This window comes from Homo sapiens, chromosome 3, assembly GCF_000001405.40.
Source record: "Homo sapiens chromosome 3, GRCh38.p14 Primary Assembly".
Classification (NCBI taxonomy): domain Eukaryota; kingdom Metazoa; phylum Chordata; class Mammalia; order Primates; family Hominidae; genus Homo; species Homo sapiens.
The window spans coordinates 47557441-47583650 of NC_000003.12; the positions used below are offsets into that span (position 1 = coordinate 47557441).

Genomic DNA, 26210 nt, shown 5'->3' on the forward strand with positions numbered 1-26210 from the left:
GCTGGGTAGGTGAGACAGAGCCAAGGGCTTTGACACATATTTCATAACACTCTTGTGGCAGAAACAAAACAGAGCACAACACTAAGAAACCCTTATGTCTGGTTGGGATCTAGTATTTACAAAGCACTGTTTTTTGTTTTTTGGAGACGGAGTCTCGCTCTGTCGCCCAGGCTGGAGTGCAGTGGCGCAATCTCAGCTCACTGCAACCTCTGCCTCCCGGGTTCAAGCAATTCTCCTGTCTCAGCCTCCCGAGTGCTTTTTTTTTTTTTTTTTTGAGACAGAGTTTCGCTCTTATAGCCCAGGCTGGAGTGCAATGGGGTGATCTCGGCTCACTGTAACCTCCACCTCCTGGGTTTAAGTGATTCTCCTGCCTCAGCCTCCCGAGTAGCTCGGATTACAGGCGTCTGCCACAATGCTTGGCTAATTTTGTATTTTTTCTTCGTAGAGACGGAGTTTCACCATGTTGGCCAGGCTGGTCTTGAACTCCTGACTTCAGGTGATCCGCCCGCCTTGGCCTCCCAAAGTGCTGGGATTACAGGCATGAGCCACCACGCCTGGCCTACAAAGTACTTTTATATCCAGTCCCTCTTGATTGGGCCTTCTTATGAAAGGATCCAAAGGTACTTAACCATGAAAGTTAACAGAGTCCAGGAAGTCCTAAGCAGAACCAACGAGCTGTCCAAAGTGGGTAAGAGATATGGTTAGGAACCCATGACACACGTCCCAGTATGCAGCCCTATGCCACAGCAAAGAGCAGCCTGAGCTCATGGCGCCAGCTAAACACCATCTGGGTAAAAGGCCCAAGATGAAAACAGAGGACTTCTGTTGTTAGTAAATGGGAGGCTAGGTAAATTGTACCAACTCTTGCACTAGGAGCCAAAACATTTGAAAAGCATCAAAAAGCTAACAAGATACTAAAGAATTACTAGGCTAACATCCCAGAGAGGACACGAATCCAGACAGGTGAGCCCAGCGTTTGGGCCACTTGGACCTGGAGGCAACTGCCCATTTAGCAGAGGTGATGGAGAGAATGGGTTGTGTTTCTGAAAGTTTTGTAGAGCTGGGCAGGGGAAGCTGGAGTACGGGGCCTACCAAAGGTGGGATACTGGTAAACCACTGCCTGTTTTGAGGTGTGACCTGAGAGGATTATACCCTAGGGTTAAGGATAAACCAGAAGCAAACCAGCCCTTGCATAGTCTGACAGGTCTGTGGGTTGGTTTCAGTGGCTTAGAAAATCTCCAACCTTGAATCTGGATTACTGTGACCCCAGAATTCTAGAGCTCCTGGGTACCTGACAGAAGCAAATAAAATTCCTCTCTGGAGGGAGAAATCGTCCTAGGCTTCAAAATACTTTAATAAACAGGTTTTCAAATACGATGTCTAGCACAAAGTAAAAAATGAGGCACATGTGAACACACATCAGGGAGAACCAGCAGAAATTAGGTGACAGAAACACACAGGGATTCCAGTTATTGGAATGATCACAGATTGAACACAGGCAAAATGTTCAAGAAAACTCCTCCAGTTGTTGGTAAGTCTGGCTATTTGAAATCTTCACTCTCTAATCTATCCCCATTCTACAACCCCCATCCTCAATCTGCCTTACCCACTGTCTCCAGAGTTGTCTTTACACAAAACAAATCTGACCATCCTTCAGCTCTGTGCTTAAATGGCATTCAAGGCTGTTTGTAATCTGTCCTAAATTGCCCTTTTCAGCCTCGTCATATACTCATCATATAGACTACTTTCCTGAGTATTCTACCTTTGCCTTTAATGCCCTCATCTCCTATTTTATCCTGAAAAATGCCTCCTTATCCTTCAAAGTGCAATTTAAACCTCCTCTCTTTGAAGCCTTTCAGAAAAATATATATATGTGTGTATATATATGTATATGTATAAAATGTATATATATGTGTGTGTGTGTACATATATATATATATATATTTTTTTTTTTTTTTTTTTTTTGAGACGGAGTCTTGCTCTGTCGCCCAGACTGAAGTGCAGTGGTGCGATCTCGGCTAACTGCAACCTTCGTCCCGAGTTCAAACAATTCTCCTACCTCAGCTTCTCGAGTAGCTGGGATTTCAGGTGCCCGCCACCATGCTCAGCTAATTTTTGCATTTTTAATAGAGACGGAGTTTCATCACGTTGACCAGGCTGGTCTCGAACTCCTGACCTCAGGTGATCCTCCCACCTTGGCTTCCCAAAGTGCTGGGATTACAGGCGTGGGCCACTGCACCCGGCCGCTTTCTGAAATCTTTTTTTTTTTTTTTTGAGACGGAGTCTTGCTCTGTCGCTCAGGCTGGAGTGCAGTGGCACGATCTCGGTTCACTGCAAGCTCCGCCTCCTGGGTTCACGCCATTCTCCTGCCTCAGCCTCCCGCTTAGCTGGGACTACAGGCACTCGCCACCACGCCCGGCTAATTTTTTGTATTTTTAGTAGAGACAGGGTTTCACCGTGTTAGCCAGGACAGTCTCGATCTCCTGACCTCGTGATCCGCCCGCCTTGGCCTCCCAAAGTGCTGGGAGTACAGGTGTGAGCCACGGCGCCCTGCCCTGAAATCTTAACTCCAACTCTCATAGCTTTCTACACACTGACACACTATTCTAATTATTTGTACTGACACACTATTATAATACACACTGTTACAATTGCTTGTTTATGTCTGTTTCTCAAGCAGACTACTAACTTGTTGAGGTTTGGATCTATTTTATTCATTTAGTATTCCTAGCATCTAGCATAGTGCCTAGCTCAGAGTAAGTGCTTAATAAACATTATTTTAATTTTCAGAGGCAGGTTCTCAGCTGTGTTGCCCAGGCTGTGGTGCAGCGGCTATTCACAGGCTTAATCCCATTAATGATCACCACGGGAGTTTTGACCTTTTATGCTTCTGAACTGGGCTAGTTCGCCCCTCCTTGGGCAACCTGGTGGTCCCATACTCCCAGGGGGACAAGATATTGTTACCAAACTTAGTGTGGACACCTGATCATCATAGTGCACTATAGCCCAGAACTCCTGGACTCAAGTGATCCTCCTGCCTCAGGCTCCAGAGTAGCTGGGACTATATGTGTGTATCATGCTGCCCAGCTTACTAAACATTTTCGAAAGAATGAAAGTGTATATATTTGTTCGAGACAGAGATTCACTCTGTCACCCAGGCTGGAGTGCAGTGGTGCGATCTTGGCTCACTGCAGCCTCCGCACCCCAGGTTCAAGTGATTCTCCTGCCTCAGCCTCTTGAGTAGTTGGGACTACAGGTGCCCACCACCATGCCCGGCTACTATATATATATATAGTTTTTTTTAGTAGAGATGGGGTTTCGCCATGTTGACCAGGCTAGTCTCAAACTCCTGACTCAGGTGATCCCCCTGTGTCATCCCAAAGTGCTGGGATTACAGGTGTGAGCCACCATGCCTGGCCTGAAAGAGTTTTTTTGTTGTTGTTGTTGAGACAGAGTCTCCCTCTGTCGCCAGGCTGGAGTGCAGTGGCGCCATCTCAGCTCACTGCAACCTCTGCTTCCCGGGTTCAAGTGATTCTCCTGCCTCAGTCTCCCGAGTAGCTGGGACTACAGGCATGCGCCACCACGCCCAGCTAATTTTTGTATTTTTAATAGACACGGGGTTTCACCATGTTGGCCAGGATGGTCTCAATCTCTTGACCTCGTGATCCACCCGCCTCGGCCTCCCAAAGTGCTGGGATTATAGGCGTGAGCCACTGCGGCCAGCCAGAGTATTCTTAATAATAGGTGATACAGACTGTTACAGGTTGAATTGTGTTCCCCCAAAATCCATATGTTGAAGCCCCAGTTTCCACTGTGACTGTATTTGAAGATAGGGCTTTTAATGGGCTAACTAAGATTAAAAAGGTGATAAAGGAGGGGCCCTAAACCAATAGGATTGGTGTCCTTGTAAGAACTGGAACTGACATCAAAGATCTTTCTCTTTCCACATGCATACAGAGAAAAAGCCGTGTGAGGACGCAATGAGAAGGCAGCTGTTTGCAAGCCAGGAAGAGAGGCTTCGTAAGAAACCAACCCTATTGGGTTGATCTTGCACTTCCAGCCTCCAGAACCATGAGAAAATAAATTTGTGCTGTTTAAGCCACCCAGTCTGTGGTATTTTGTCGTGATAGCCTAAGCAGACAAACACACAGAGCATTTCTGATATTTCAAACATGTTTAAATATACATCTTTGCCAGCCTGGCCAACACGGTGAAACCCCGTCTCTTCTAAAAATACAAAAATTAGCCAGGCATGGTGGCACACACCTGTAGTCCCAGCTACTTGGGAGGCTGAGGCATGAGAATCGCTTGAACCCGGGAGGTGGAGGTTGCATTGAGTCGAGATCGCGCCACTGCACTCCAGCTTGGGCAACAGAGTGAGACTCTGTCTCAAAAAATAAATAAACAAATAAATAAATATAAATAAATATACATCTTTGGCCAGGTGCAGTGGTTCACACTTGTAATTCCAGCACTTTGGGAGGCTGAGGAGACAGATTGCTTGAGCCCAGGAGTTTGAGACCAGCCTGGGCAACATAGTGAGACCCTGCCTTTCCAAAAAAAATTTATAGATTAGCCAGGTGTGGTGGCTTGCACCTGTAGTCCCAGCTACTCAGAAGGCTGAGGTGGGAGGATCACTTGAGCTGGGGAGGTCAAGGCTACAGTGAGCCTTGCACTCCAGCCTGGGTGACAGAGCGAGATTCCACCTCAAAATAAATAAATAAATAAACAAACATCTTCAATGAAGGTTACTCAACTCAAACTTAAAGGAGTGGACACAAAGACTAAGAAAATGAATAACTTTTTAAAAAGTTTTATTTCAAGAACTTTGTTTTTTACTGGTATTTCAAAAAAACGTGGGTCAAAGTACAAAAAAAAGTCAGTTGAATAACAGCACAGGTTTAGAAATCACAGCAGCAGAAGCAATGTACAGACAGCACAGAAAAAACAACCCAATGTATGCAATTCTGTTCAGTTTCTTTGCTTATTTTAAGTATTTTTTTGCCTCCTGTACAAAATACATAAAAGCATGCCATGAGATCAGAAAAAGAAAAGAGTTTAACAAATGGTTACAAGAAATAGACTCTGTACAAGAGGAGATAATGTTTCTTCCCCTACCCCCCACCCACTACCCCCGCTTCCTCTCTTCTTGCTCTGCTTTAGGTTAAATTATTCTGAAGACAGTTCACATCCAAGTCAGCCTGGTCACCTTTGCCACCCTCAAGTTTGGGCGACATGGAGTTCTGGATGTTAAATGACTCCTCCTCTTTCAGGCAGGACTTGAGAACCTCCTGGATTTTGTGGGGAGCACTAGGATCATCCTGGAAGAGGGAAAAAGTTGGGGGGGGGGAGACAATGCATACAGCAACCAAATAATAATATCAGCGTTTTCTATCTGGTTGAAGGAAGCATCACTGAAACAAGGAAAAAGCTCCAAGACTTGAATGAACTAAAAGGAACCAAAGTAACTCATTAGCAGCAACTTTTTAGGAAAGTCATCCTTACAAGAAATGGCCAGGCAGAGAGGAAAACTTGACAGTAATCAGTTTACAAATAACTTTAATTTGTGCCATGTCCAAGGTTTTCTCTTGGACAGAGATTGGGGAGAAAGAGTCCCTTGGCCCAGGCGCCTCTATAGCCTCATGTGTTGATGAGCTCTGCGGGGCCTGCTGAGCCCGGCCTTCCTCTGGCCTTCCATCCTGTTGAGTTTTGCTTTCACAAAGATGTCTTGGTCAGGGAACATGTCTCATCAGTGTATACAGTGGGGTATGCATAGAACTGGTAAAGTGCAGAACTGCTCCTGACTATGCTGGGGCCTCTCTCCCCACAGTAAGAGCATCTCCGCTGACTAGAGGTCAAAGATGTGTCAGCCTCTCATTGTCACAAGTGAACCTGCTAAAAGATGCTAGCTAAAAAGGTATGTCCTCAATCCAAGCCCGAATGACCCTGGCTGCCTCAATGGCTTGCCACACTCTGCATCACATGATATTCGTACTGCTGATTCTAATGTAATAATCCATGTATATTGCCTACAGCCCTGTGACAAGCTCCCTCTGACAAACTCCTGAACCTGAGCTGAATTTGCATTTTATGTATTTATGTATTTATTGATGTATTTATTTATTTATTCTTGAGAAGGAGTCTTGCTCTGTCGCCCAGGCCAGAGTACAGTAGTGTGATCTCGGCTCACTGCAATCTTGAACCTCTTGGGTTCAAGGGATTCTCGTGCCTCAGTCTCCCCAGAACCTGGGATTATAGGCGCTCGTGACCATGCCCGGCTAACTTGTATTTTCAGTAGAGATAGGGTTTCACCATGTTGGCCAGGCTGGTCTCGAACTCCTGGCCTCAAGGGATCCACCCACCTCGGCCTCCCAAAGTGCTGGGATTACAGGTGTGAGCCACCACGCCGGCTTGAATTTGCCTCTTAAAGGTTCTCAGGAAGCTCACACTAGCACATAGTCCTCCAGGTCTACATTCTGCACGTTCAGAGAACTTCTGTGGCAAATCTTGCTTTACTCATTTCCTTTAGGACCACCTAAGGGGAATATACCCAGTGCAATTCAGTGGGCCTCAGTTCTTTCTCTGGTGCCCCAAATAGCTGTTGTAAGTGCTTGGAACTCTGCTGATAGAAGACAGTGTGTAACCACTAAGGCAGATTCATGGATGACAAGAAGGTAGAGAGTGTCCTAATCTGACCAGCTAGCTAAGGCCATTCTTGCTTTAACCACTACCAAAATTCAAGATTACCATCATGCTTAAGGACCAGAGTGTTCTCCAGAGAAGTCTGGTGAGCCCTCGTCTGTGCTGCCTGCTACCAAGTTTGACCCATAACAGCACTAGGTTATGGGAGTGATGAGTTGGAAAGAAAGTAGGGAGAGACCCCGGGCTTTCCATGGTTCTTGTACACACAGGACACCGGGGCATCCATGAGTTCTGTGCATATGGAAATCACTGCCAGCTGCCCACTGCCCACAGCCTCACTCGGTGCTTCTCCAGAGGCCCAGATTAAGGAGGACAATTTAGTAGAGTTTCAAAGACTTCACACATGATTTATAGACAGGGGAACACATGTTTCTTGTTCCAATGAGACAAGAACAAGAAAATGAACTTCATAGAGTACTGAGGCAGATGTCAGGTAAGGCAGCTGCACACAGCACGCGCGGCCAGTTGAATGGTCAATCACTGCTTAGAATCACAAAACACTGTGCAGTGACATAAATGTCCATCTCCTGAGACGGAAAGATCTCCATCATACACTGATTGAAAAAAAGTAAGGGGTAGAACATGTATAGCAAACTCTCATTTATGTTTTAAAAATATAGATATAGGTGTGTGTTTGTGTGTGTATATATATATACACACGTGTGTACTTTACGGAGAGGGAGGTGGGGGTGAAGTAGAGCTGCACTTTTTTATTTCGTGTACTTCTGTACTGTTTGGGGGAAACCATGGTCATGAAAGCTGGAGAGCTGAGCTATAAGTATCTTAGGTAGGATGGACTTTGAATCACACTAAAATCTAGAACAGGACAAGAGGACCTATAATCACCTCTCCTCTTACAAGGATACAACTTGCTTTTATGTCTTTCAAGATAACCTCCCACCCTCAACTCCTTCATCACATATTCTCTGGGGGCATACAGGGGTACAGAAACATTCTCATGATGTGAAGAAAAGTGGACTAAGTGACTCCTCACAGACCCTGGTCTCAGAGCTCTGATGCCATGAAGGTGGGCTCCCAGATTAAACCTGAGCCCTCGAGGGCTCATGGGATCTAGATTAGAAAACTGTCTTCTGAGCCAAGGGATGGAAGAAGCATATCCCAAAAGCAAGAGATATGCAAACAGTGCTATTAGACAAGCTGAATACCTCCAACAAACACAAGAGGCAAAGGAATGTCTACACCAAGATGGGGCTCTCCTAACTCAGGTGTTTGCTCCAGAACTTGATCCTATTAAGCCAAGGGTAGCTGAATTCCACAGCAGGTCCAACTGCCTTTGACTTAATAGAAGTACCTCATCACAAGGGAGCTGGATCAACATCTGGCATAAGTTCCTAGGAACCACTGTGGACTCACTGCTCCCAGCATTCAATCCCAGCAGTATGGGCACCCTTCAACCCAGGGGTCATGTGGGTTCAGGCCTGGCCAGAGGCAAACATCTATTGGAAGAGGGTGGGCAGTCAGTGCTTTAACAAATACATGCAAGAGAAGAGTCTGGAGAGTAGGAAAGAGTTAAATAGGAAAAAAAAAAAAAAAGCACAGGAACATCAATGGAGAAATCCTAGGAATAAACTGAAATCCCGGAAGGTCTGTCAAATCTTAGCACAACCCAAGTTACCCCCATGGTCTCGACAGCACCGTTGTGAGGACCATCAGGGCAGCCCAGTGTTGGGGCAGCTGCCCTGGGTTTCTGGTGGCTTCATTCACGCAGTGTGCCTGGAGCACGGGCAGCTTCCTACATTCTCTGTGCCTCCTGACATACCCTTCAAGGCTGGTTGCTCAGCTACGCAAGACACTCACACAGACTCAGCCTAAGGCCCACCAGCTACAGAGCCGCACATCAGCCTGAGGGCAGAGAGGAGCAGAGGAGGGAAAGAGGTGCCACCGGCACAGATACCAGCCACTGACCCTTCCCTGTCACAGGCCCAAAGCCCCAGACTTTTTTGCTTGCAATCTTTTCAGAGTGTGGCTGGTAGAGGTGATTGCGACAGTGTAGGAAAATGACCTGCTCAATCTATTTTACGTATGTAAAAGAAATAACACCTCGATGCAAATAAATAAAACTCTCCAAAATTTTAGAGAAAACCAATACCAGCAAGGAGTTTGGGGGTGGGGAGAGAGGGGTGGGGAGAAGCCACGAGGCAGGCTGGACTCCGGCGCCCCCTTGTCTCTCCTCCCGTATCATCTGGAGGATCTCTCACTCTCCCCGGCTGCTGGCACCCCTTGCAGGCAGTGAGTGTGGCGGCTGTAGCAGTGAGCAGGGCTTCACTTCACAAACAAGTGGCAACCGTGTTCATCGGCAATGCCCACAAGATCTTGAATATGACTAAGTTTGACCTTTGGATGAGGTGGAGAGAATTAGAGATGAAGGTAGAAAATCCACCACTACATTCCTTGCTGGATAGGAGAGTCACCCCTCACATCCACAGTGCTTTCAGAGAGGAGAAGATGATGTCCCCTTGGGCACAAGCTGACGGAAAGACACCAGCCTCAATCTCCTTGAAGTCTGGGTATTTGGTTACAATAAAAAAAGGCACCAGCCTCAAGATCCAAGAGGAGCCAGGAGAGAACCAGAGCCAGATCTTGCTGCTTCCTAAGGGATGGCTTGAGTGCCGCCCTGGCCACCCCATCACCCTGTCTCAGGCAGAGCCCACTATGGCCGACCAGCCTCACCCGCCCTGTGGCTGACCCCCAAGCCCCATGCTAGATCACCACTGCCTGTGGCCAACCACACACCGTGGCCGACCACCACCCTCCCGTGGCTGACCACCCCCTGCTCTGCTGTTTTCAAGGCTTGCCATCTTCTGAACTAAGGGTCAGTGGCAGCGTTCAGGTACAAAAGCCTCACTTTCCACAAAGCTGGATCAGCCAAGAACAAGAAACCTTCGCACCGGCTGTGTAGCCAAGCCCTCCAAGAGGAGCTCTTTCTTTTCCCCCTCTGAGAAGAAGAAAGGTGTCTGAAGCTGTGGTATTAGAAACACAAGGGTCAGAAACTTTCCTAAGGATGCTTGCACTCTGTCAAGCAGAGTGGGAGGACTCTGTCCAACCGTGGACAGTGAACATGCTGACTACAGGAGCTCCCGTCCTGGCAGACCTGCTGCCATCTGCAGGATGGCAGATCAGCCAATGGAACTGAGAGCCCCCATAGCCCACCATCACTCACTAGTATTCAGCAAGTGGTAACTGTGTGCATGTTACTGCAGAGGGCGGGATAATGTGCTCACCGAGACTCTGTCCTGCCCTCTGTGGGTTGATGAACATGGTGACCAATTTTAGAGTTTATAAGACATAGTGTTTCCTTGGTTATAATGTTCATCTTGACCTTACTTGTTGTATCTTGGTACAAACCAAGTGAAATAATCTGTTCTTTTTCTACCCTTTATATCAAAGACTTTAAAAAATTATCCTAAGTTTACCTCTTTCATTTCATATTTAAATTCACCCATTTACTTCTCCTCTACCAGGCCAAAATTTCCTGTTCTGGGGTTTTGTGAATGAGGCCACACATTTACTCTTATTCTCTCTTCCCCCTTCTGGGGCTGCAATTTCCCCATCTATAAAAGGAAGAAGGCCAGGCATGGTAGCTCACACCTGTAATCCCAACACTTTGGGAGGCTGCGGCAGGAAGATCACTTGAGCCCAGGGGTTCGAGACCAGCCTGGGCAACATGGCAAAACCTCAACTTTACAAAAGTTAAAATAATTAGCCAGGTGTGGTGGCACATGCCTCTAGTCCTAGCAACTCAGGAGGCTGAGGCAGGGGTATCACTTGAGCCCAGGAGTCTAGGTCTGCACTGTGTAATGTGGTAGTTAAGAGCTCTACAGCCGCAAGTGGCTAGTGGCTGTTGTAGTAGACAGAGCAGATATAGAACACTTCCATTTCACAGAAAGTTCCACTGGACCGTATTGGTCTAGAGTGCTGAGGCCCCTGTGAGGTCTGACACTCTATGGTCCATGATTTCTAAGAACTTCTTCTAAATTTCCTCTTAAAGTCCATTGCTTCAGTCTGAAGTCTCAGTTTAACTTGCTTATCTGTGTAATAATCTGTGTAAAAATGCATTTATCTTGAAGTATGGAACCTGCATTATATAGAGAATTCTAGGATTTGGATGTGGCATGATTTGAGATTTGGATATGGTTTCTGCCTTGTTTTTGAAATTCTCTCTAGTATTTGACTGGTCAGTCTAATCCAGGCAATACACTAGGCCAGGGTCTTTAGAAAATGGTCTATTAGGATCTTTTATTGGATTTCAACTGATATTTATAAGCCCATACTCCTAAGAACAGGATTACTCCTGGACTTAAGGCTCTGCCAGTGTTTTGTATTTGGGCCTTGGCCTTAACCAGCTGTGTATAACCCTGCCAGTTCTTAGGATCCTCAAATAGCAGCAAGGACACAGAAGTCTTTCCACCCATCCCAAAGAGCAACCACCGTTTGCTTCACTGACCACCATGAAATTCCCCAGCAGTGAAAGCAGAGCCTTTCTCCTTGATATGGAAAATAAGACAATAATCAGACTTCTAAAGCTTAGATGAAGCTAAAAATCATGAGTAACCCTAGAAAAAGATCTTCTCAGCCAGGCAGGTGGCTCACACCTATAATCCTAGCACTTTAGGAGCCTGAGGCAGGAAGACCACTTGAGGCCAGGAGTTCGAGACCAGCCTGGGCAACACAGGAAGACCTCATCTCTACAAAAATTTTAAAAAGAAAAAGACCTTTTGTATCGAAAATTCTGCTTGTCAAATAAGTGATACACCATCAAGTGCTTATTCCCACCTTTGCTGCCCAACTCAGTTGCCCTAGGCTGACCTCCAGAGCTCTCTGGGGATTTCATATTCTGAAATAGACATCAGACATGGGCCAGGGGCCAAAGCATGCATAAGAGGAGAGATGTGAAGAAAACAAGTTACCTGACAGATAACGTTATCATAGTGAGCCAAGGCACGGGCATGGGGGGAGGAGGTACGGGGAGTGTTGCAAAGTTTCCTTACATTTGGGTGAGAGCCCTCGGCAATGGTGGAGAGGGAGAAGTTATCATTGTGGAGCTCAGATGGGGTCCGGAATTTGCTGGTTAGGAGAGAAGAGTGAAGGAAACATGTAAGTGAAATAATCACGGCAAAACATGACAATGTCTCAGCTTCTGGATCAAATACTGTATTTCGGCTGGGCGTGGTGGCTCGCGCCTGTAATCCTAGCACTTTGGGAGGCTATGGTGGGCAGATCACTCGAGGTCAGGAGTTTCAGATTAGCTTGGCCAACATGGTGAAACCCCGTCTCTACTAAAAATACAAAAATTAGCTGGGCGTGGTGGCAGGCGCCTGTAATCCCAGCTACCTGGGAGGCTGAGGCAGGAGAATTGTTTGAACCCAGGAGGCGGAGGTTGCAGGGAGCCAAGATCGTGCCACTGCACTCCAGCCTGGCTGACAGAGCGAGACTCCATCTCAAAAAAAAAAAAATTACAAAAAATCCCTACAAAAAACAAATACTGTATTTCTTTCTTTATTAAAAAAATTATTTTAAATTTTATTGATAAGTACAGAATTGTACCTGGTGCTGGTTATCGGTTTTTAAAGGCTTTTCTATTCTTTTCTTTTTTTTTTTTTTTGAGACAGGGTCTCACTCTGTTGCCCAGGCTTGAGTGCAGTGGCACAATCACAGCTCACTGCAGCCTTGACCTCCTGGACTCAAGTGATCTTTCCACCTCGGCCTCCCAAGTAGCTGGGACTACAGGTGCATGCCACCATGCCCAGGTAATTTTTGTATTTTTTGTAGAGATGGGGTTTGACCATGTTGCCCAGGCTGATCTTGAACCCCTGAGCTCAAGCAATCTGCTTGCCTCAGCCTTCCCAAAGTGTTAGGATTACAGGTGTGAGCCACTGCGCCCAGTCAAATACTGTATTTCATCAAATGCCATGGATTATCTTTTTTTTTTTATTTTACTTTAAGTTCTGGGATATAAGTGCAGAATATGTCAGTGTGTTATATAGGTATATGTGTGTCATGGTAGTTGGCTGCACCTATCAACCCGTCATCTAGGTTTTAAGCCCCACGTGCATTAGCTATTTGTCCTAATGCTCTCCCTTCCCTCTTCCAGATTATCTTAAAACAATTTTTTTTTTTTTTTGTAAAGATGAGGTCTTGCTATGTTGCTCAGGCTGGACTCGAACCCTTGGGCTCAGGTGGTATTCCTGCTTTGGCCTCCCAAAGTCTTGGGATTACAGGCATGAGTCACAGCATCCAGCCAAATGCCATGGATTGTAATAAGGTGCACCATTATTTGATGTACCATTAAGAAAAAATAAAAACACTTCCACCACTTAAACCATCATCCAATACTTTCTTATCACCTAGAGCTTTTTTTTTTTTTGAGACAGAGTCTTGCTCTGTTGGCCAGGCTGGAGTGTAGTGGCACAATCTCGGCTCACCGCAACCTCCACCTACTGGGTTCAAGCATTATCTGGCTCAGCCTCCCGAGTAGCTGGGATTACAGGTGGCTGCCACCATGCCCAGCTATTTTTTGTATTTTTAGTAGAGACGGGGTTTCACCATCTTGGCCAGGCTGGTCTTGAACTCCTGACCTCGTGATCCACCCATCGTGATCCACCTGCCTCGGCCTCCCAAAGTGCTGGGATTAGAGGCATGAGTTACCGTGCCCAGCTGAGCTTTTCTTATATACTTGAAGTAGTTCATTTAGACTTTAGATAAGGGACTGACAACAATATGAACAGCTAGGAACCCATTTGTGCATGCCAGGGAATTACAACTACATCATAACTACCATATGGCCAACAGTGATCATAAGATGCCAGTGGCTGGGCACAGTGGTGCATTCCTGTAGTCACAGTTATTTGGGAGGCTGAGGTGGAAGGATCACTTGAGCCCAGGAGTTCAAGACCACCCTGGGTAACATAGTGAGACCCTGTCTCAATTAAATTAAAAAAAAAAAAAAAGATGGCAGTGATTGTAAGACACAATCCAATTTCAGAGATGTTAATATGTGGGGAAAAAAGGTATATTTTAGAATAAATAAATTATGGCAGTATCTGCAGTGCACCAGGCACATGTCACACCATCAAAGCAGTAACCAGGCTTGGGAAAGAAAGAAGGCATGTGGAGAAACAAGAGGGCCATGCTCTGTGAAAAACACAGGGCTGGCTAGAGGAAGAGGCCCTAGAATAGGGTCCTGCACCTGGCCTCAGCTCTTGCTTCTCCACTGCCCTGGCTGTTGTTCCTTTCTCTCCCCCATCCTCATCAGCAGCTGCTGTGATTGAAGCAGTCCCATCTCCTGCCCCCTGGATACCCCTGCTCACCCACCCCCTTGGTGTAGGCGTGAGGAGCCAGGGGTCCAGGACTGTGTCTTTCTGGAGTGATCACGTGTGTAGATGCAGCCCGCCTCAGTGCACAGGCACAATGGAGAGGCCGTACCAGCCCCGCGGCGGTTAGCTGAAAGGCTGCAGAGAGCTGCTGGCATCTGTACATTGCATGAGTCTACCCAGCAAAGGAGCAACAGATGGTGTTTTGTCCTTTTCCCAGGACCCAGGGAAAGTCCTTCAGTCACATTCTCTAGAGGGAGTCTCAGGTCAAGGGGAGGGGGATTAATGGGGCAACAGGTTGAAAGGGAAGTGGGGGCAGTTCTGCATAAATTGTCTCTGGGGTCCCAAGGAAGCTGAACTCCAATCTCCCTTTTGTGACTCCTGTGACACTTCCAAAAGGTTTTCTAACTTTGCTTAGTAATAGGAGTAATTTTCTCATAGCGTATAAGGTCACATCCGAGTGTTCAAGGCATGGGCTTAAAGGCAAACACATGTTGATTCTCACATGCACACAACAGTCACTGCTTTGCCAAGAGAAGAGCTGAAATAAGATTCTACATCCCGTATGGCCCTTAAAATCCACAGTAGAGGAAGTTAACCCTAGTTCTCCCCACATATTCTACTCAGGAGAGGTAAAGAGGATTTTCTTAAGTTCCTTGCACTTCTGATTGGACACAGGCTTGACTAGCTTTCAAAAAGCAATGCAGTGTGGTGCTAAATAAACCCTTTCTCCTCAGTGTTCACCGAGGAGGAGCTGATTTTGGGTGACAGATGTGAAGGAGATGGAGTTCCTCCACGCAGAATTATGAATGAAATCTCGCACTGGCCGCTGGCTGTCACAGTCCAGGGAAGAAGGGTCTATCAGGCAGGTGGGCAGACTGAGTAACTTACCTGGGGACTAGAGGAGGAGTAGCTACATGCTGGCTGCCTTTTTCACAGCAGGCTCTCAGATGCCTAGTGCAGGGTTTTGGGAAAGCTGCTGGACAGTGGCAGTGTGCCACAGGGGCTTCACCTCTGCTGCAGCTCCAGCACATTTTGTGTAGGAACAGATGAGCCTGAGTGAATTTTTAGCACAGACAAAACAGCTGGGAATGGAGCACAGGTGCCAGAAACCCTCACGACAAAGTCCCTGGATCAGTTGGAGGGGTGCAGCAGCGTCGGGGGGCCTCCCACACCCTGACCTGGGTGGATGGGTGAGTGACACAGACTCACTTGGTCCTACGCAGCTTGGTATTCTCCGTCTTGAGCAGGTAGAGCTTCTTGGCAAAGAACACCGTCATCATGAAGAGCAGGAGCAGGACGAGGGCAGCCGAGCCCACGGCCACGCACATCACCTGGAAGTCGGTGATGATGGACTCGCAGCGCATCCCCTTGTGCCAGATGTAGTCCTGCGTGTTGCACCTGCAGCAGCGACATTGAGAAACCGTGGCGATGGAGCAGGCAGCCACGGCCACAGTAAGGGCCTGGGCCCTGACCCCAACACCTATCTCCACAGCCTGTTCCGAAGGCCATCTAGAGGAACTGCAATGCTCCGAATCTGCACAGACCTCAGAGCTGGTGTGATCGCCCCTGCCTTTACAACCATTCTATGAAGTGGGCCAGGGAGCTCTGAGGTCTGTGATATAAATGAGGTAACCGAGGTGTAGAGAAACTGAGTGAACTGGTCAAAGTTCTCTGACTGCTAAGTGACCAAGGAGGGAAGGGAATCCTGGTCTTCTGCTCTGCAGCCTCAATGAAGACACCTACAGGATCCTCTCAGGCCTCTCCCTGCCCTGGGCTCTGGGTGAAAGAAAGATGAAAAACAAGAGGAATAAGAGCTACAGCTACAAAGTCCCAGGACCTGCCCTGCACATGCAAACCTATCTTGCTGCTTTGCAGTCCCACCTAGTTCACGTGGCTGAGAAGACACCTAAAAATAAGGAAGTGACAGACAAGGACAAATAGAAAGATGGATGTAGATTCTTCTATCTCTGCAGCCCCCCCAAGTTCTGCCCCTAAAGCTCCCTATCCTAGTACTATGAGAACTGTCATGCAAGCACAGTGAGAATCAACCCTCTGGGTGGGTTTTAGCCTTTTTGTTGAGTGACTTTCTCCTGCCCTTGGGGACATTCCCAGGCTCCAACTCTTCCAATGACATTGCTGTTTCCATGGGAACCAGGCTGCTTCAAAGAGGAAAGATGTGGAAGGATACAGAGGCAGGCAAAGGAGGGAGGACATGAACCTCAGGGTGAATGACAGACAAGAGAAAGGGCTCCAGAAACGGGGAAATTATGCACCAGAAAACTGGCTACTCCACATCTAGAATAGGGTGGGGAGACATGGCTAGCAAGAAATTCTTCATTTTCCAACTGAGCCTCTGCCGTCATGGGGAGGCTATCTGTTTGAGGTTGCCAGGGAATGCAGACCCCTGTAAGTGGGGCCTCTACCCCGGTGTTCTAGAGAAGTTCCGCCACAGCTCTGCTCATTTCCCTGCAGTGGGTCAGGGTGACAGAGACAAAGGCACACTGCAGTCTGCAACCAACGGCTCAGCAGTCTCCTGTGAGTGGAATGCAAAAATAGTTTTCAAGCCGTGGCCAGGCCTGGGTGTACACAGCCAGGGGAGGAATCTGGTAGGGAGGCCCGAATGTGATCCTGGGATGGAAGCTAAGCAAGGGGAACTGGAGTGGACACGTGGAGAAGCCCTTGTGAGGCAGTGAGAGGCTGGTAGACCCATGCTGGCAGAGCCATGTAGCTTACTGAGGAAGACAATCTTATTCTTCCACTTGGGAATTTTCTGAGAGTTCCAGGAGATTCTGGGGACTTTTACAGCTCTCTAGAGGCAGCAAGGGCTCCAAATTTCATACTATTATGGGGAGTTCACTTTGAAGGTGAAAATTCCAGGCCTCCAATAGGATGAAAGATGATGATTTTGCAGAGAGGTTGCACAGCCCCCAGGCTGAAATCATCACTATAGTCCCCCAAACTGAATTTTGAGGAGCAAAATCACAGGGTTTCCTCATATTTCTGGTAGCCCTTAATCAACTGGCAAGTTAGTTTATTGCCATATTTTCTTTTTAAAAATAAAATTGCTACAATTTCTTAATCATAGTACCTCCTTCTGGCAATGGCTGGACCACTCCAAGAACTGTGTGGTCACATCCTATGAGTGACCCTAATGTCATGACCATTTATAATAAAGAACTTCGGCTGGGCGCGGTGGCTCACGCCTGTAATCCCACCACTTTGGGAGGCCAAGGAGGGCAGATCATGAGGTCAGGAGATTGAAACCATCCTGGCTAACACAGTGAAATCCCGTCTTTACTAAAAATACAAAAAATTAGCTGGGCGTGGTGGCGGGCGCCTGCAGTCCCAGCTACTCCGGAGGCTGAGGCAGGAGAATGGCATGAACCTGGGAGGCGGAGCTTATAGTGAGTCGAGATTGCACCACTGCACTCCAGCCTGGACGACAGAGTGAGACTCCGTCTCTAAAAACAACAACAACAAAAAAAAGAACTTCATAGAAAGAAACTGGAACTTAAGTTACAACGCCAAGGACAAAATACTCATTGCTTTCTACATGTTATTCTCTGATATACTACATCAAGACCTAAGGAACTTGAATTCATCATATACTTGCAGAACGAACAAGAACAAGAAGGATGGAGAATGACACTTGAAAAAGAGATACCCTGGCCGGGCGTGGTGGCTCACGCCTGTAATCCCAGCACTTTGAGAGGCTGAGGTGGGCGGATCACTTGAGGTCAGGAGTTTGAGACCAGCCTGGCCAATATGGTGAAACCCCATCTCTACTAAAAATAAAAAGAGACACACAGATGACAGAAATGCTCCATCTAGGACTAATGGAGACAACCCTCAAAGGAGTCTGAGGGCTCTCCTCCATTTCTACAGCCTGTAAAGGATGGAGACAAGCAAACCACCTGATCACCCCACCCTGGGATTCTTCCGGAATCAGGCTGCAAGCTCTCCAGCAAGTTAAATACCTCACTGTGAGGACAGTTCCTAAGAGTGAGGTGAGTAGGGTAATTACTGATGAGCTACAGACAATGCCCTTAGGAAAACTAAACTCTGAGTCTTTAAAAGGATTATGGATTTGATATCCCAAGGTAGACAAACATCAAAGTAGAAAGAAAAAAGCCACCTCCCAAAGTCAAGAAACACCCGCACATCTGCAATGCGAAGACTCTCAGCTTGATTTTATCTGTGTGAGTGGCTGCATTTTGGGGTCTGTTTCCAAGAAGGTCCTCCCTTTTGAGTTTGCGTGCCTACATTCCTTCCAGGGAACTGGCCCCTCCTCCCGCCGAGCACAAGGCATGGAGCGGTGTTCAACAGCTGTCTTTATCCCACAGAGTAGGTTTATGGGCCTACCCCTCTCACCAGTACCACCAGAACCCTCCAGCAAACACCCCTCAACCCAGCCCTTTTTCCAAAACTCTTAAAGAATTCCCTTCATTTTGCCTTTTTTTTTTTTTTTTTTTTTTTTTGAGACAGAGTTTCGCTCTTGCTGCCCAGGCTAGAGTGCAATGGCGTGATCTCGGCTCACTGCAACGTCCACCTCCTGGGTTCAAGCAATTCTGCCTCAGCCTCCCGAGTAGCTGGGATTACAGGCATGTGCCACCACACCCGGCTAAATTTTTTATGTTTTTAGTAGAGACAGGGTTTCTCCATGTTGGTCAGGCTGGTCTCGAACTCCCAACCTCAGGTGATGTGCCCACCTCGGCCTCCCAAAGTGCTGGGATTACAGGCGTGAGCCACCACGCCCGGCCTCATTTTGCCTTTGTAATTGAGGGTTTGGGTAAGGACACAACACACAGAGGAAAGACATAATCTTATTTCTGAGGAACCTCTCCTAGTGATAAGGTCACAGGAAGTGCATTTTACCAAGTAATTCTGTAGAAGAAGCCTGAGTGAACATTTCTCCACCTGGGAATCCTGCGACTGTACAACCTCTTGCAAGTTGTGCCTGTCACGCTGCCCTCTGTTTTGTTTTGTTTTTTTTTTTTTTTGAGATGGAGTTTCACTTTGTCACCCAGGCTGGAGGGCAGTGGCACGATCTTGGCTCACTGCAACCTCCACCCTCCGGGTTCAAATGATTCTCCTTCCTCAGCCTCCTGAGTAGCTGGGACTACAGGTGCCTGCCACCGCGCCCAGCTAATTTTTTGTATTTTTAGTAGAGATGGGGTTTCACCAACTTGGCCAGGCTGGTCTTGAACTCCTGACCTTAGGAGATCCGCCTGCCTCAGCCTCCCAAAGTGCTGGGATTACAGGCGTGAGCCAACGCGCCCGGCTACGCTGCCCTCTGTTGAGTCGGCCTCACATACACTCTTCAGTGTCCCTATGCACCTGCCTGCCATGCCCTTACCTGCAGAAGGCCCCTATGTTCTCCACCAGGTAGCACTGGCCGCCATTGTGACAGTAACTTGGGAAGAGGTCGCACACTGACCGGCAGGAGCCGTTATGCCGCACAAAGCCACTGCGGCACTCAGTGCCATTTTCACTGGAGGCCAAGTCCCTGCCTGGCTCTCCTGGGCGGGGCCTGAGGGCGATGCTGCTGCCGGGGACCGACCCCAGAGTGTGCTGTGGAGGGACAGCATGCCACCGACTGGTGGGCTGGCCTGTCCCGGGCCCCAGACCAGGCTTCCCAGTGGGCACTAGAAGCTCATTTTCATCTTCTAGGTCTCCACCTCCTACTGCATCTTTGTCATCCTCCTCTTCCTCCTCCTCTTCATCCAAGTCATCATAAAAGGATGTGGTGGGGTAGAAATCAGATTCATCGAAGGGGGTGAAATCATCGTATAAGTCAAGCAGGCTCCAGGAAGGGGTCTCTCCCTCAGTATCAGGGTGGTTCTCTGAGGTTCCTGGTGACCCTGGGAAGCTCCCCAGATCTGCGCCACGACCCTCACCATCCAGTCCTTCGAAGTAGTCGATGTCAATGATATCTGATGCCGGTTGGGGCTCCAGGGTGCCCTGAAATGGGTAAGTCAGCTCTGGCCCTTGAGGGTCGGGTGTGCTGCCCCCCAGGTTCAGCCAAACCTCCAAGGGGCTCTCCTTGGGGAGTTCAGAAGCTGGGCTCAGCTTGTCGCCGGGGGTGGGGGAGGGTGGCCCGCTGGCCTCTGTAGCCTCAGGAATGGCAGGGGGCATGATTGACTGCCCGAGGACCTCGTGGGGAGCCTGGAGCGTAGCTGGAAGGGCCTGGGCATCGCCGCTGCCCGCCTCTGCGGTCACTCCTCCCAGGCCTGGGCTGTCAGCTTCCAGCCAGGCGGTGCCGGTCACCGCAGCCGACTCCTGCAGCACCTCTTCTGGCCCGGCCAGCTCGCCACCGGGCGCCGTCCACGACGCCTCATCTTCCCCAGCCGCTGGTGGGCCGGCTTCTTCCCGCGTGTCGTTGGCAGGCGGCTCCCACGCCGGGCTGCCCTTCACCAGCTCTTCGGCCTCAACCGCGCTGCCCGCCTCACGCGCTGCGGGCGGGAGGGCAAGGGGCGGGACGTCAGGGCGGCGCGCTGAGGAGCCCTGGAGCCCCGGCCCGCCCCGGTCAGGCCCGCTCGCCTAGACCTGGTCAACCCAGACCTCGCCACCCTCAGACCCCACCGCCCCAGTGTGACCCCAGCCACCCGGTACCTCTAAGCCCCGTCCCGGAGTCTGCCCCCAAGACGAGGATCACACCCCGCCCAACGCCTCGCGGCTCGGCCCCGCCCGACCTGCCCCGCCGTCTGAAGAGCCAGGCCAGGGCGGCCCCCAGCTCGGCCCACCCATAAGTCTCACCCTCGGGAACCCACCCTGAGCCGCGTCCACTGGCTCCCGCCCTCAGCTCCAGGTCCCGCCCCGAAGTCTCACCCTCAGGCCCCGCCCCGGCCCCGCCCCGGCCCCGCCCCCGGCCCCGCCCCCAGTCCGCACCGCGGCCCGCGCGCTTGGGTCCCGGCTACCCCAACCGGGGTCGGCCCCCACGCGGGTCGGCCTTTCCCGGACCCCCACCACCTCCTGGGACCATTCCGCCGCCCGGCCGCGGCCAGGCGGTGCCCCGCCCCCTTGCCACAGCTCACAGCTCCACCTGTCCCCGCCGCCAGCGGGACCCCTGCCCTGGGTGGGGCACGAGGGCCGCGGGGGTCCCGGGCGCAGTCATACCTACCCGGCACGGCCCCAGAGGCCAGGACCAGCGCGGCCCCCAGAAACAGCAGCAGTGGCGGCGGCCCCCGGCCCGGGCCCCCGCCCCCGGCTCGCCCCATGGCGCGGCGCCCCGACCGCTGTCCGCGGTCCGCCCGGCTGGCTGCGCCCTCGGCTCGCCCGGCCGCCGCGCCTCCCGCCGGTTCTGCGGCCGCCTCAGCCCACGATGGGCAGCGCGAGGAGCCGCATGCCGCCGCCGCCGCCGTCCGCCGCTGTCCCCGGCGCGCCGCGCCTCCCCGCCTCCCGCGCCGCCGCTGCCGCCGCTGCGCTCAGCGCCGCCCTCACCCCGCCCGCCGCGCCGGCCCCGCCGCACGTAGCGGTGACGCCGGCCCCTTGGTCAGCCTGCCAGGGGAACAGACAGACCCCTCGCTGGGGACTAGGAGACACACGGACGGGGAGTGCGGGGCAGGCGGACGGGGAGCGCGAGGCAGGCGCACGGCGCGGCGCGCGGCGTTAGGCGGCAGGTGCACGGGCGGGAGACCTGTGGGATGGGGCCACGGTCCCGCCCCAGGTGAACAGGCGGCACGGGGCCCCGACCCGGAGGAACCCACCCGCCACGCGGCAAGCACGGAGGCGGGGACGTCGCGGGCCCAGTTACCCGCAGGGTCGGGGCGGGGTCCAGAAGAGCCGCAGGGGGCGGAAGCACGAGCCCCCACTGTGGAAACAAGCCAGGCCCGGGGCGCATGGAGCCTCTCGGATTCTGCACCAATCCCGTGTTCCGGGCGGGAAGGCTCTCAGGGAGGTCTCCGGGTCTCCACGAGGGAGGGGCGGGCGTTGGCAGAGCCTGGCAAGGGGGCGAAGCCGACCGCCCAGGCTCTAATCGGATCAGATCTAATCCGTTCGCAGCCAAAGCCACTAGCCTAGATCTCGCACAGCCAGGCCCGCCATAACGCATCCCGGGAGCAAGGGGTAAGACCCTCCCTGGGACTGCGGCTACCTCGCCTTCCTTCTAGTCTCCGGGCAGCCTGGGGAGCGGCCTTTAATCCTGGTCCCTTCTCCGGGATACGTCGTCCCCCAGGTGTCTCAGACCACCAAAACTCAGGTTCCTGGGTAGACCAGGGGGGTCTAGATCCCCAGCCGGGCACACATGGATGCTTGGCTTTAGAGTGATCTGTGGGGCCCATTCACAGCTTCAGGGCTCACAGGGCAACCCAAGACCACGCACCAGGAGGTCTGCTTAGTCGGCAGGAGGAACCGCAACCTAGTTACTTAGTTTATTCCCCCAAACCGACCGTCTACCCCTTAATGTGTTACTCACCCAAATGACAGTTCAGGGTATCAGCCCAAGGAGATAGGACAACTCCAGTATTTAAGAGACGGTCCCATTGCTGTCTTAGAAGACCAAATAAGTGACCAAGATGGAGATTCTATCTCCTAATCTTTCTGATACATATCTCCAGATGGAGTTGCCTTGGTTCAAAACCTGTTTCTCAGCAGAACTATGGCTGCAGCCTATTTGCCTAGCCTAGCGTCTCCACCTCTCCTGCCTGGTAAACTCCTCATGCCAGAAAAACTCAGTTCTTATCACCTTTCCCTCTATGAAGGCTTCTCAGCAGTTACACTTAATGCCCATCATCTCATCTTATCTACAGTTATTCCTCACTGGACTGCAAGGCACTTGAGTGCACAGGGCTGGTAACAGAGGGAGGCTCCATATCAGACAGGCATAAATGAACGAATGGCAACCACCCACACCCATCCCAGAACTGTGGTCTGGAGAGCCTTGAAAAAAGGGGTAAGGCTCTTTCTTTCATAGTTTCATGCTGCCTCCGGGGACCAAGTAAAATATGTTTGAAACAATAGCCTTCTCTAAACAGGGGACCATGTAGGGCTTTGCACTCACCTCAGCCACAGAGGCAGCAACGCACCCTTAACTGCCTCCAACCCATCTCTGCTTCCCTTGTGTGCAGCTTAACTCCTGTCACCTTTTACTGTATGTAGACTCTCTGTGTTCCTTTGCTTGTTTCCTCAACTCGGGTTGTGGCTGTCAGAGCGGCCTACCTCCTCCTTCCCTTCCTGAGGCCAGTCTGTGTGGGAAGACCTCATGGATGGGTTCCTTGATGTCTGGGGCATGACAACCACTCACACATTTTCAACAGGGTTTAATGGAGGAAGTTCTCCCACTCATTTTAAATATATTTTGTTAATTATTTAAGTATCTTCTTCTTCCCTTTCCTGGAGATGAAGTCTGCTAACGCTTCCTTCAATTTGGAATTTTTTTTTTTTGTTGAGACAGAGTCTCACTCTGTCACCCAGACTAGAGTGCAATGGTGTGATATTGACTCACTGCAACCTCTGCCTCCTGGGTTCAAGTGATTCTCTGCCTCAGCCTCCCGAGTAGCTGGGATTACAGGCATGCCACGCCCGGCTAATTTGGTATTTTTTGTAGAGACGGGGTTTCTCCATGTTGGCTCAGGCTGGTCTCGAACTCCAGGCCTCAGGTGATCCGCCCGCCTTGGCCTCCCAAAGTGCTGGGATTGCAGGCATGAGCCACCGTGCCCGGCCCAACTTGAGACTTTAAATCAATTGTTGCCACTCAGTTTCATTCTGATCTTCCCTAGTGGATCTCACTAGCAGTTTGAGAACTGAGCATAGCACACTTGGTTGGGTAACACCTCCACAAGATGAATGGGAAAATTCAGTCAGTGGAACGTGATGGGAAGGGCAGGATTCAGCTGCAGCGTGACTTTGAGTTAGCAACCTGTCTCTCATATGTGAAAATGCTTGGTAACCAGAGAGTCAAATGAGTATTTCTTCTGAGCACAGGACTGTGGTAGGGTAAAGAAGAGATAGAAGATGTAGGAACCACAGAGTGAAAGAAAGGGAAACTGACGTCCTTATATCCATGTCCCCGTATTTATGTCTCTTGCACCTGGGCATCAGGGATGTTTTATGTGTCAACAGTTTCTTCATGCCTCTGAGGTTCTTACTGGGTTGGCAGCCTGCCTCCAGAGCTCAGGTAGGCTCAAGGTCCATTGCCACGAATGCAGCCAGCCTCCGACTGCATGAAAAACCCCCGGCTTGACCAGGGGGCTGCAGTCCAGAGGAGTGCTCCAGTTGCCATGGCTGGGGGCATAGCTGTGTGGACTGGAAATTCCTGGCTTTAAGTCCTCAGTATTAACCACTAACATTGATATGGTTTGGATGTTTTATTCCCTCCAAATCTCATGCTGAAATGTGACATCCAGTGTCGGACGTGAGCCTAGTGTGAGGTGTTTGGGTCATGGGGGTGGACTCCCCATGAATGGCTTGGTGCTCGAGGTAATGAGTTCTTGCTTCATGGGTTCATGTGAGATCTGGTTGTTTACATGAACCTAGTACTTTCTCTCTCACTCCTGCTCTCACCATGTGATGCTGGCTCCCCTTTGTCTTCCGCCAAGATTGTAAGCTTCCTGAGGCCCTGACTGGAAGCAGATGCTGGCTCTATGTTGTGTACAGCCTGCAGAACCGTTAGCCAAACACACTTTTCCTTATAAATTACCCAATCTCAGATATTCTTTATTCTTTTATAGCAACACAAACAGGCTAACACAAACATATTGAGTTTTTAGTTTTCCTTGTGCTAATTTGCCTTATTCTTCACAATCACACTACAAATATCGTCAGTCCTATTTTACACATCTGCAAACTGAGAGAATTAGCAATTTTGTCCAAGAGTACGCTAGTGAAGTGGTAAGGACAGGATTTGAACTAAGACCCTGATTCCAAACCCTTTCGTTTTAATATGGAGGCTTTTCATTCCTGCTTGAGAAGAGGAATCAGGACACAGAGGTAGACTATTAATTGGCAGAACAGAGGACCTCCCTCCTCCCCTCCCCAACTCTCCCACCTTCACTTAGCCATTTAAGAAATAATGCCATGATCTCTTACCAGGGAACACAGCAACAAGACCAGACTCCTGGTTCTAGGCTGCATGGCAATCTGCTCTGTGACCATTTTACGCGATGTGCCTCTTTACACCATCCCCCAGAAAGGGAAGGGCTAAGAGGTAGGGGGTCTGAGTTCTTTGTGCTGACCACCACCTCTGGACTGCAGAAAACTCTGGATTCTCAGTTGAGCAAGTGCTGTCATCTAAGGACATCACAACCTGAAGGTGATAATCTTGTTCAGGCAATGGGTCTGCAAACAGATTGGAAAGGCCTCTTGAATTTCATTACCCCAAAGCCAAACCAGCTGGGAGAAAGCCACATAGCACAAGCAAACACAGGGCCTCACCATGTGGAGCAACTTTTTTTTTTTTTTGGAGACAGAGTTTCGCTCTTGTTGCCCAGGCTGGAGTTTAATGGCATGATCTCGGCTCACTGCAACCTCCACCTCCAGGGTTCAAGTGATTTTCCTGCCTCAGGCTCCCGAGTAGCTGGGATTACAGGCATGCACCACCACACCGGCTAATTTTGTATTTTTAGTGGAGACAGGGTTTCGCCATGTTGACCAGGCTGGTCTTGAACTCCCGACCTCAGGTGATCTGCCCAGCTGGGCCTCCCAAAGTGCTGGGATTACAGGTGTGAGCCCACCGCGCACGGCCAAGCAACTAAGTTTGTCTGCAGAAGAGACCTGCTGCCTCAGCAGGTGACCTAAGCACTTCTCGGGCATCCTGTAGCTACTGTGGAATAAGCTGACTGTAAACAGGGATGCCACAGGAAACTCATCCATGTCTGAAACAAACCAGACACATCAATCAGCCTGGGCCGGTTTGGTTGGACCCACCTTCTACCACCTGCCCAGTTCTGAAACTGCTATAGAAATCTGCTAGGGAGGATCAGAATGAAACTGAGTGGCTATCATCATCCAAGACTGCTGCCACTTCCTTACATTCTTCTGGACCAACTGCCCCAAGAAGGCACCTTAGATGGTAGATTACCACAGAACCAGAGCAGGAGGCATTTTCCTTGTCACTTGTCTGAAGGTGGTTGTCACACTGTATTAAGGCATGGCCATTTTCCAGAGGGGTGGTGGGATTATCTCCCCTGAAGGGTAAAGTTGCTGTCAGAATTAGTCAACTGGCTGCCCTCTATAGGT

At 50.0% G+C, this 26210-nt stretch overlaps 1 protein-coding gene and 1 pseudogene across 6 annotated transcripts, besides 7 other annotated features; both read right to left on the reverse strand.

Annotated features, from left to right (window-relative positions):
• RN7SL870P (RNA, 7SL, cytoplasmic 870, pseudogene) lies at positions 2789–3084 on the reverse strand (annotated as a pseudogene).
• Positions 4798–22800, reverse strand: CSPG5 (chondroitin sulfate proteoglycan 5). Of its 6 annotated transcripts, none has more exons than NM_001206942.2 (5): positions 22450–22800; positions 19393–20488; positions 15246–15434; positions 11712–11787; positions 4798–5321 (listed from the first exon to the last, which is right to left on the reverse strand). In NM_001206942.2, exons 2-5 carry the CDS (start codon positions 20169–20171, stop codon positions 5160–5162), a joined length of 1206 nt encoding a protein of 401 aa, NP_001193871.1. In that variant the 5' UTR covers positions 20172–20488; positions 22450–22800; the 3' UTR covers positions 4798–5159. The 6 variants fall into 6 exon arrangements, with proteins under 6 accessions (NP_001193871.1, NP_001193874.1, NP_006565.2 ...); NM_001206945.2 differs by having other exon boundaries at positions 11631–11787; NM_006574.4 differs by lacking the exon at positions 22450–22800 and adding an exon at positions 21157–21425.
• Positions 14844–15344: an enhancer, noted in NCBI's record as "H3K4me1 hESC enhancer chr3:47613774-47614274 (GRCh37/hg19 assembly coordinates)". NCBI's record gives its function as "activates a minimal SCP1, AML or CMV promoter by ChIP-STARR-seq in naive H9 embryonic stem cells {active_cell/tissue: H9 hESC(naive)}" and the evidence as "EXISTENCE:reporter gene assay evidence [ECO:0000049][PMID:30033119]".
• Positions 15345–15845: an enhancer, noted in NCBI's record as "H3K4me1 hESC enhancer chr3:47614275-47614775 (GRCh37/hg19 assembly coordinates)". NCBI's record gives its function as "activates a minimal SCP1, AML or CMV promoter by ChIP-STARR-seq in naive H9 embryonic stem cells {active_cell/tissue: H9 hESC(naive)}" and the evidence as "EXISTENCE:reporter gene assay evidence [ECO:0000049][PMID:30033119]".
• Positions 18739–19033: a silencer, noted in NCBI's record as "tiled region #12920; K562 Repressive DNase matched - State 8:EnhW". NCBI's record gives its function as "represses a minimal TATA promoter and a strong SV40 promoter by Sharpr-MPRA in K562 cells {active_cell/tissue: K562}" and the evidence as "EXISTENCE:reporter gene assay evidence [ECO:0000049][PMID:27701403]".
• Positions 20636–20725: a silencer, noted in NCBI's record as "silent region_14310". NCBI's record gives its function as "represses an Ori minimal core promoter by ATAC-STARR-seq in GM12878 lymphoblastoid cells {active_cell/tissue: GM12878}" and the evidence as "EXISTENCE:reporter gene assay evidence [ECO:0000049][PMID:35858748]".
• Positions 20776–20835: a silencer, noted in NCBI's record as "silent region_14311". NCBI's record gives its function as "represses an Ori minimal core promoter by ATAC-STARR-seq in GM12878 lymphoblastoid cells {active_cell/tissue: GM12878}" and the evidence as "EXISTENCE:reporter gene assay evidence [ECO:0000049][PMID:35858748]".
• Positions 20876–20925: a silencer, noted in NCBI's record as "silent region_14312". NCBI's record gives its function as "represses an Ori minimal core promoter by ATAC-STARR-seq in GM12878 lymphoblastoid cells {active_cell/tissue: GM12878}" and the evidence as "EXISTENCE:reporter gene assay evidence [ECO:0000049][PMID:35858748]".
• Positions 22050–22754: an enhancer, noted in NCBI's record as "H3K4me1 hESC enhancer chr3:47620980-47621684 (GRCh37/hg19 assembly coordinates)". NCBI's record gives its function as "activates a minimal SCP1, AML or CMV promoter by ChIP-STARR-seq in naive H9 embryonic stem cells {active_cell/tissue: H9 hESC(naive)}" and the evidence as "EXISTENCE:reporter gene assay evidence [ECO:0000049][PMID:30033119]".

What these genes read in the sequence shown, in the direction of transcription:
- CSPG5 (NM_001206943.2), bottom strand. Translation starts at nt 21,253, where the DNA reads ATGGGGCGAGCCGGGGGCGGGGGCCCGGGCCGGGGGCCGCCGCCACTG. An exon ending in AACATAGGGGCCTTCTGCAG is followed by an intron (nt 15,435 to 19,392) that starts GTAAGGGCATGG and finishes TCGCTGCTGCAG; the next exon opens with GTGCAACACGCAGGACTACA. An exon ending in ATGATAACGTTATCTGTCAG is followed by an intron (nt 5,322 to 11,630) that starts GTAACTTGTTTT and finishes TCCCTCTTCCAG; the next exon opens with GATGATCCTAGTGCTCCCCA.